The sequence below is a fragment of the Homo sapiens genome, chromosome 9, assembly GCF_000001405.40.
Source record: "Homo sapiens chromosome 9, GRCh38.p14 Primary Assembly".
NCBI lineage: Eukaryota > Metazoa > Chordata > Mammalia > Primates > Hominidae > Homo > Homo sapiens.
This window is the reverse complement of record NC_000009.12, coordinates 131523800-131531668: the sequence shown is the minus strand read 5'-3', so window position 1 is coordinate 131531668 and position 7869 is coordinate 131523800. Positions and strand designations below refer to the sequence as shown.

The 7869-nt window shown below is 58.2% G+C and overlaps 1 protein-coding gene across 7 annotated transcripts, besides 6 other annotated features; it reads left to right on the top strand.

The window, feature by feature from the left end:
* Positions 1-170: a silencer, noted in NCBI's record as "silent region_20421". NCBI's record gives its function as "represses an Ori minimal core promoter by ATAC-STARR-seq in GM12878 lymphoblastoid cells {active_cell/tissue: GM12878}" and the evidence as "EXISTENCE:reporter gene assay evidence [ECO:0000049][PMID:35858748]".
* Positions 311-670: a silencer, noted in NCBI's record as "silent region_20420". NCBI's record gives its function as "represses an Ori minimal core promoter by ATAC-STARR-seq in GM12878 lymphoblastoid cells {active_cell/tissue: GM12878}" and the evidence as "EXISTENCE:reporter gene assay evidence [ECO:0000049][PMID:35858748]".
* Positions 311-1249: a biological region, named in NCBI's record as "OCT4-NANOG-H3K27ac-H3K4me1 hESC enhancer GRCh37_chr9:134405807-134406720".
* Positions 336-1249: an enhancer, noted in NCBI's record as "OCT4-NANOG-H3K27ac-H3K4me1 hESC enhancer chr9:134405807-134406720 (GRCh37/hg19 assembly coordinates)". NCBI's record gives its function as "activates a minimal SCP1, AML or CMV promoter by ChIP-STARR-seq in primed H9 embryonic stem cells {active_cell/tissue: H9 hESC(primed)}" and the evidence as "EXISTENCE:reporter gene assay evidence [ECO:0000049][PMID:30033119]".
* Positions 406-7868, top strand: UCK1 (uridine-cytidine kinase 1). Of its 7 annotated transcripts, NR_134666.2 has the most exons (8): positions 406-602; positions 982-1183; positions 2085-2181; positions 2399-2541; positions 2631-2725; positions 5166-5224; positions 5692-5740; positions 6448-7868. NR_134666.2 is itself a non-coding variant. In NM_001261450.3 (7 exons), the coding sequence occupies exons 1-7, from the start codon at positions 495-497 to the stop codon at positions 6627-6629; spliced, it is 807 nt and encodes a 268-aa protein (NP_001248379.1). In that variant the 5' UTR covers positions 406-494; the 3' UTR covers positions 6630-7868. The 7 variants fall into 7 exon arrangements, 5 of the variants coding, with proteins under 5 accessions (NP_001248379.1, NP_001248380.1, NP_001305448.1 ...); NR_134667.2 differs by lacking the exon at positions 5166-5224 and having other exon boundaries at positions 1024-1183; positions 2113-2181; NM_001261450.3 differs by lacking the exon at positions 5166-5224 and having other exon boundaries at positions 406-575; positions 1024-1183.
* Positions 871-920: a silencer, noted in NCBI's record as "silent region_20419". NCBI's record gives its function as "represses an Ori minimal core promoter by ATAC-STARR-seq in GM12878 lymphoblastoid cells {active_cell/tissue: GM12878}" and the evidence as "EXISTENCE:reporter gene assay evidence [ECO:0000049][PMID:35858748]".
* Positions 1955-3154: an enhancer, noted in NCBI's record as "BRD4-independent group 4 enhancer chr9:134403902-134405101 (GRCh37/hg19 assembly coordinates)". NCBI's record gives its function as "activates an origin of replication core promoter dependent on BRD2, P300/CBP, MED14 and CDK7 cofactors, and independent of BRD4, by STARR-seq in HCT116 cells {active_cell/tissue: HCT116}" and the evidence as "EXISTENCE:reporter gene assay evidence [ECO:0000049][PMID:35650434]".

Genomic DNA, 7869 nt, shown 5'->3' with positions numbered 1-7869 from the left:
GACGGCTCCAGCAGCGGGTGGGGTGGGAGGCGTCCGGACAGTCCGGAGGCCTCGATGGCCAAGAGGAGCCTGGGCTGGAGGGGGCCAGGCCCGGGGGCGGCCGGGGGAGGGCCCGGGACTGGCGCAGAGGCAGCGCGAGGCAGAGGCAAGCACTCGGACGAAGGCGCAGCCCCAGCCTCGGGGTGCGGAACGGGCACCTTCCGGGCCACTTGAGTCTGAGACCTTGTAGCCGGCTCGAGGCCCGGGCGCAGCAGTCCCTGCCAGCCAGCTTTCGGCGCAATGGGACGCGGGCGCTCCTGGTGTGCCGGCCTCGGGCCCTGCACCCTCACGCATGCGCGGCCCCCCCCCCCCCGGTGGACTACAACTCCCGGCGTGCCCCGCGCGCCTCCCGGAAGTGATCGCTCCGGTTGCCTCCGACCTCGGCGCTGGGCGGGCGCGCCGGGCCTGGGGAAGGGGCGGGCGCGGGGACCCGATGCGCGGGAGCGGAGGCCGAGATGGCTTCGGCGGGAGGCGAAGACTGCGAGAGCCCCGCGCCGGAGGCCGACCGTCCGCACCAGCGGCCCTTCCTGATAGGGGTGAGCGGCGGCACTGCCAGCGGGAAGGTAAGGGGCCGAGCGGGCCGGGGTCTCGCCTCTCGCCGGTGCCTACGGGCGGCCCGGTCCAGAGAGGAGACCCCAGCCCCGGCCGAGGGGCCCCCTGCCAGGCAGGGGCAGGGCGCGGGAGCGAAGGGGCTGCAGGCCGCGATGGGCCGGGGCGGGCTGGGGCGGGCGAGGGGTTGGGGCGCTGGGCCTCGGGGCTCCCCCACAGCCTCTCCGCCGGCCGGGCTCCTCGGAGCCCCAAGTCCGTGCTAACCCCGTTGGGCCCCCGCGGCCCTTCCGCTGAGACCATCCACACCTGTTGGTGTCCTCCCGCCTTCCGAGCATACCCCCCAGGGGGCGGGTGGGTCAGTGTCTCCAGAAGCCGGCCCCGTGCCTGTCACAGGACGAGCGGTTCCAGGCGGGAATCCCGCTTCTGTGTCTCCAGTCGACCGTGTGTGAGAAGATCATGGAGTTGCTGGGACAGAACGAGGTGGAACAGCGGCAGCGGAAGGTGGTCATCCTGAGCCAGGACAGGTTCTACAAGGTCCTGACGGCAGAGCAGAAGGCCAAGGCCTTGAAAGGACAGTACAATTTTGACCATCCAGGTAAATCGCGAGCCCAACGATGTGGGGAGGGCAGACCCCATTCTGGGCGGCCGCTAACCAGCTGCGCTTGGGCCCAAGGTTGGATGGATGCAGACCCGCTTGGGCTGTTCCCCCAACTCGCCACGCAGCCTGCAGTGGAGTTGGCTGCACAGTGAAGTCAGGGGAACTTTGCTGAGTTCTCTGGGCCCTGAGTGTCCCCCCAGGAGCGTGGTTGGAGCCAGTCAGGAAGCCTGTTGCACTGTGGGGAGCCCTGCCCTGCCCTGCCACAACTGTGATCCTGGAGAAATCCTCCCATCTTCCCTTCCCACGTTGGGGCCTTTAGGGCCCTCCACACACACCTCTGCCCACTGTGCCCTCCCGTGCTTTGGGGCAAAGTCCTCAGAGAGGCCAGTGTGGGAGGCGGTAGGTAAACTAGTGCTGGTGGCTTGAAGCTCCGGGCCAGGTAAACGGGCAGATGCGGCAGGGAGACACCTGCCACTGCTAGAAGATTCCACCCTGGCTGGCTGGCATGGTCAGCCTTTTCCCAAGGACTTGTGGGAAGAAGGCCTGCAAAGCCGCAGTCTAACCAGTTAGTCCCAGAAAGAGAGAGAAGCAGAGGCCCAGCCTACCCACCTCCCAGGAAGAGCTGATCAGAAAACCCCTGTGTTCCGGCATCTCAGGGGCACAGAGCTTGGGCAGTGGCACAGCCCGAGAACAGCAAGGACAGGGTCATCCTGTGGTCTGCAGGGCTGCAGAGGGCACTGTTGCTACCAAACATACACTGCCGTAGTCCTAGTCTACCTGTGCTAGGGTTCTCGGTGTCCCCAGCACCCAGCTGTGCTGACCCCAGAGCAGAGAGGGTTCCCTGCTGTCCGCTGCACGAGGGCATCTGCCTGTCTTGCCTTTGTCTCCAACCCTGCAGATGCCTTTGATAATGATTTGATGCACAGGACTCTGAAGAACATCGTGGAGGGCAAAACGGTGGAGGTGCCGACCTATGATTTTGTGACACACTCAAGGTAAGCAGGTGGTTCTAGGGAGGGCCGAGGAGAGGGGCCAGCTAGGACGTCCCCTCGGGCTCACACAGACCTGCCTGGCGGCAGGCCTCCCCCGGTTGGTTTCTGTGGGTCCCCCACCCCTTCCCACAGTCAGTGTCCCTGCAATGGAAGCTGACTGTGTGTGTGGCCTGGAGACCCTGTGTCTGCAGCAGAGCCCCTTTCCCCGTGCGCCCCTCAGGTTACCAGAGACCACGGTGGTCTACCCTGCGGACGTGGTTCTGTTTGAGGGCATCTTGGTGTTCTACAGCCAGGAGATCCGGGACATGTTCCACCTGCGCCTCTTCGTGGACACCGACTCCGACGTCAGGCTGTCTCGAAGAGGTAAGGCGGCCGCGGGCCTCCGTGCCTGCCTGGCCGAGGCTGGCGGCAGGTCCTGAGGTCTGAAGCACGCCTGCCCCTTGCCGCTGCAGTTCTCCGGGACGTGCGCCGAGGGAGGGACCTGGAGCAGATTCTGACGCAGTACACCACCTTCGTGAAGCCGGCCTTCGAGGAGTTCTGCCTGCCGGTACCTGTGCTCGCTGCTTCAGAGCCCATTTTCCCCTTTCACAAGGACACATGGGACCCAGTACTGTGAGAGGGCTTAGTGCTGGGTGACAGTGATCTGATTGAAAAAAAGGAGAAGAATTTGGCTCATTATGGCCACATACCCTGGGAGTAGTTCTCAGCTGTAAAAACATTCTCTGTGCCTGCTCCTCCCTCTGCCTAAAAAAGCCCCATATCTCCCCCACATTCACACTGGCCGCTTCCTCCCTGCCTCAGGCCCTTGCCCAGCGTCCCCATTCAACACTGAAAACCCTCTGCACCCAGCGCCAGCCTCTCTGCCTGCTTCCTTTTTCCGGGGCACTTACCATCATCTGACACGTCCTGGGTGCTTATTCCCCGCAGAGTGGGGAAGCCCAGGAGCACTTTAGTCTGTTCACTGCCAAGGCCGGGATCTGGCCCTCAGAAGGTGCTTCAGAGCTGCTCCTCCAGGGTCTGTGACCCCAGGCTGCTCTGGGCCAGTGCTCTGAAATCTTGGAGTGAGCGCTGTGCCCAGATCCCAGCTGGCTCGCAGAGAGCAGGAACTCCCCGCTGCACACCCACCTGTCTTTTCTCCATTTCTCCATCTTGTGTTTCTGGCTTGGTGGGACTCGTGGCTCTACTCAAATGGGAGTGTTTTGCACGGGAACATTTTGCCTGTTAAGGTAAAAATACAGCACAAAGGAACTGAAACCAAGATTCCTGCCTTTGATAATGTAGGACAAGTAAGTTCTATCTGCTGCTTTTTTTTTTTTTGAGATAGGGTCTCTTTTTGTCGTCTAGGGTGGAGTGCAATGGCACGATCTCGGCTCACTCCAAACTCCACCTCCCAAGTTTAAGCAATTCTCCTGTCTCACCCTTCCGAGTAGCTGGGATTACAGGCGTACGCCACCACACCCAGCTAATTTTTGTATTTTTAGTGGAGATGGGGTTTTGCCATGTTGGCTGGGCTGGTCTCGAACTCCTGGACTCAAGTGACCCACCCACTTTGGCCTCCCAAAATGCTGGGATTGAGCCACTGTGCCTGGCCTTTTTTTAAATTTTATTTTTAATGAGGCAGAGTCTTGCTCTGTTGCCCAGGCTGGAGTACAGTGGTGCAATCACAGCTCACTGCAGTCTTGACCTCCTAAGCTCAAGCGATCCTTCCACCTCAGCAACCCGAGTAGCTGGGCCCACAGGCGTGCACCACCATGCTCGGTTAATTTTTAAATTTTTTGTAGAGATGGGGTCTCCCTGTGTTGCCCAGGCTGGTCTCCATCTCCTGGGATCTAGTGGTCCTCCCACCTCAGCTTCCCAAAGTGCTGAGATTACAGGTGTGAGCCACTATGCCTGGCCTATTGGCTGCTATATAAAGAAAACTTTTGTTTTTTTTTGCATTCATGCTGTCTGAAATTTCTAAAATATAATTTTAAAAGTAAAGTTAACTTGTTTTAGTCTCTCATTCACAGAAAGATATTTGGCAAAAAGTAGGTGATTCGCAGTAAAACTCTGGATATCAAATCTGCCTCAGCGACCTGAGTAGAGGAAGTGCTGTCACCTGCTATGTTCTGGGCCCAGGCCCCAGAGATGTTTTTGGTTGGTTTGTTTGCTTGCTTGTTTTTTGAGACAGGGTCTCCCTCTGCCACCCAGGCCCAAGTGCAGTGGTGAGATCTTGCTTCACTGCAGCCTCCACCTTCCACTCTCAAGTGATCCTCCCACCTCAGGCTCCTGAGTAGCCAGAGACTACAGGCACGCACCACCACGCCTGGCTAATTTTTCCTTTTTTTTTTTTTTTTGCACAGACGGGGTTTTGCCATGTTGGCTGGGCTGGTCTCAAACTCCTGGCCTCAAGCAGTCCACCCACCTCAGCCTCCCAAAGTGCTGGGATCACCGGCGTGAGCCACCGCACCCGGCCCCAGCCCCACCCAGAGCCGTTCTTGAGCCTCCTTTTCCTTCACCTTCATGTTGAGTGGCTTGTGCAGTCCTCTGCCTGGACCCCGTAGGTATTTCCCAACTGTATTCAGGCCCATCCCTGCTGGCGGTTAAGACCCCTGTCAGCTCTCCCGGACTCCTCCAGCCCGTCAGACTATCAGACTAGAATAGAAAGCAGCCCTCGCCCTTGCGCTCGTGCTTTCATGAGATGGGGTCCCACCAACTGCAGACACAGCTGTCCCCAGGACTTGGTCCCTGTCTGCCTCTTGCAGCTTGTCTCTTCTGCCGCCTTCTTGACCCAAATCCACACGCCAGCAGCACGCACCGTTCCAAGTTCCGTCCTTCGGCCCAGACCCTGCCCTCCCTCTTCCCTCAGCTTTGTCTGATTCAGCCATGTTCTCCAGGCTGCTTCCCCTTCCCTAAAGCCACCCCCCAACCCCCACCATCTGGCTGCGGACCCTCCCCAGCAGCCCTGCATTTCCTGATATATCTCCATCCTTGTCCTTCCTCAGCAGCAGAGCATCTGACAGGGAATGAGAGTCAGCATTGAGCCAATGAGTGGTTGGATGAGGGAGTAAGTTACCATCAGCGTCTCTGCCTGCAGTAATTATGCACGGCGGCGGCTGTCCTGTTGCTGTGCCAGGGTATTTGCAGAAGCTTCATGATTCCAGAGGAACAATGTCACACTTTGTAGAAGTGCCACACTTAGCTTGGCCCAGTGAATTGAGTCGTTAGCGTAGCCAGCTGTCTCCTGTAATGGAGTGGGAACACTGGAAGGGGGCTGTCTTCTGTGATGGAATGGGGACACTGGAAGAGGCACTTTCTTTTGGCTGCCTCAGCTGCACTTTCTGCCTCACTTCTTGGATCATGGCCTCTCACACCTGGCTGATGACTGAGTCTGTGTCCCCCATTTGCCGATGACACCAGCACCTCTGAGCACCCCAGGGCCGCCCCTCCTGCTGTTGCATCTGTTTCTGAGCATCTTAAAATCACCTTTGAAGGAAAAGTCCTCACAGGAACACCCCCCCTTGTGCCTTACAGACAAAGAAGTATGCCGATGTGATCATCCCGCGAGGAGTGGACAATATGGGTAAGAAGCTGGCCTGCTGGGCTGTCCCCCCGCCCCTCCCAGAGCTTGAGGCAGGGACAGTTCCACCAGTGTGCAGTTACTGAGCACTCCCCTGCGCACGCGGCCTGCCAGTGTTGATCTGCGGCACAGGGTTAAAATATGCTTAAAAATGTATGTAGCTGGGCGCGGTGCCTCACACTGGTAATCCCAGCACTTTGGGAGGCTGAGGCAGGGGGATCACTGGAGCCCAGGAGTTCAACAGCCTGGGGAACATAGCAAAACCCCATCTCTACAAAAAATAAAATTATTTGGGCATGGTGGCATGTGCCTCTGGTCCCAGCTACTCAGGAGGCTGAGGTGGGAGGATTGCTTGAGCCTGGGAGGTTGAGGCTGCAGTGAGCTGTGATTGGGCCACTGCACTCCAGCCTAGGCAGTAAAGTAAGAACCTGTTTCTTAAAACATATATATATGTATATTCAAATCTGTTAGCAGAAAGTACTTTAAGCAGACTCTAACATAAATTCCTGGAAGACCAAGCTAAGAAGTCTTATTTTGCTGTGTCCTGATGCATGTTTCTGTCTGCTGAGATTTGACTCGATGCCCCTCGCCGCAGGCTGTGCCTCAGGGCAGAGGTTGGGCGCTCACTCCTGGCCGAGTGCTGCGGGGAGGGGCGGTCTCCACGGAGGATGGATGCGGCTAACCCGCTGCTTGTCTGTCTCTTGGCGCAGTTGCCATCAACCTGATCGTGCAGCACATCCAGGACATTCTGAATGGTGACATCTGCAAATGGCACCGAGGAGGGTCCAATGGGCGGAGCTACAAGCGGACCTTTTCTGAGCCAGGGGACCACCCTGGGATGCTGACCTCTGGCAAACGGTCACATTTGGAGTCCAGCAGCAGACCCCACTGAGGGGCTGCCGAGCCTCAGGGCAGGTCTCCCGCCCGGCATGTGTGTTCAGGGACTGAGCCTGGGGACGCCCACCCACACCCACTGCTTCCTCTCGGCGCACCCCAGGGGAGTGTTAGCAGCGAGGCCTTCCTCACTCAGGAGTGGAAACTCAGATGTGTCACTCAGACTCAACTTGCTGGGACACTGACAGGCGTTCCTGAGGTTTTCAGCCACTTAGGCTCGTTGCGGTTTAAAGATCCCTCTAGGTCACTGAGAAATGCCACAGAATGTGCAGGAAGCCTGGGAGGCTTCTGTGAGGAATGTGAGGCACATTATTGGGGAAATTGAGGAGACAGCCTAGACACTGGCTGGCCTGATGTTTTGTTGACAGTGAACCCACAGTGGGAGAGAGTTTTTTCCAGTCTGATCTGGTTCTTACACACTCACACACATAACTCAAAAGTTTTGTGAACAAGTACTTTCCTTTTTTACATGTTACATGTCCTCATGTTTTCTGTTTTCTGTTTCATAACACAAGGCTGGTTGTGGCCTACAAACCTAATTTCATGACCCAGTGGTTTGCAGTCCAGCGTGGCCTACACGGATATGGGGAGCCACTGAGGGATGTTTTCCCCCCTTGCTTGTGCCTTAAAGGCAGAGAAGCGAGGCGGATGCCCTGGAAGCACCCAGCATCACACCCAGGCTTGTGCGGGGCCAGGCTGGGAGCCCATGCAGTAGGGCAGAAGGCAGCGGAGGCCAGGTCTGTCCCGGCTGGAGAACAGCGTCCACGCAGTCCTGCCTGGGGTCAGGCCCTCACTGACCCTCAGGGGAGCCCCCAAGGTGCTGTCTGTCTAGACAGGCTGTCCCACCCCAGGGTGGCTAGTGGCCATATGCAGGGAATGGTGCTTCTGGCTGTGGCACGCACTGGATCACCCAGGTCCCAGCAGACATGGCCGCCCAAAGTCAGCAAGCCTCCTTTGTGCTATGTGGAGCTCACAGCCTCACATGTGAACACCCGTGTCTGGGTTGCCTGGGGTGATCCTCCCTCCTGCGTGGTGGCTGTCTCTGGAAAGCATCCCTTGCCGCTGCCATGGGCAGCCCCAGCCCCCGTCCGTCCAGGCTCACCCACAGTAGTGATGCAGACGTGACGTGGGGGAAGGGGGCTGAGCCCTGTGGCTGGGTTCTGACAACTGTAACGGTTTTGTCGAGCTTAGGCCCCTTTGGAGGGAGAATCAATAAATAACAAACACCAACTACAAAC

Excerpts from the sequence above, each read along its gene's own strand:
- UCK1 (NM_001261451.3), top strand. The coding sequence starts at position 495 with ATGGCTTCGGCGGGAGGCGAAGACTGCGAGAGCCCCGCGCCGGAGGCC. Across the intron at positions 2,726-5,691 it reads TCGAGGAGTTCTGCCTGCCG|ACAAAGAAGTATGCCGATGT; the intron begins GTACCTGTGCTC and ends TGTGCCTTACAG. Across the intron at positions 5,741-6,447 it reads GCGAGGAGTGGACAATATGG|TTGCCATCAACCTGATCGTG; the intron begins GTAAGAAGCTGG and ends CTCTTGGCGCAG.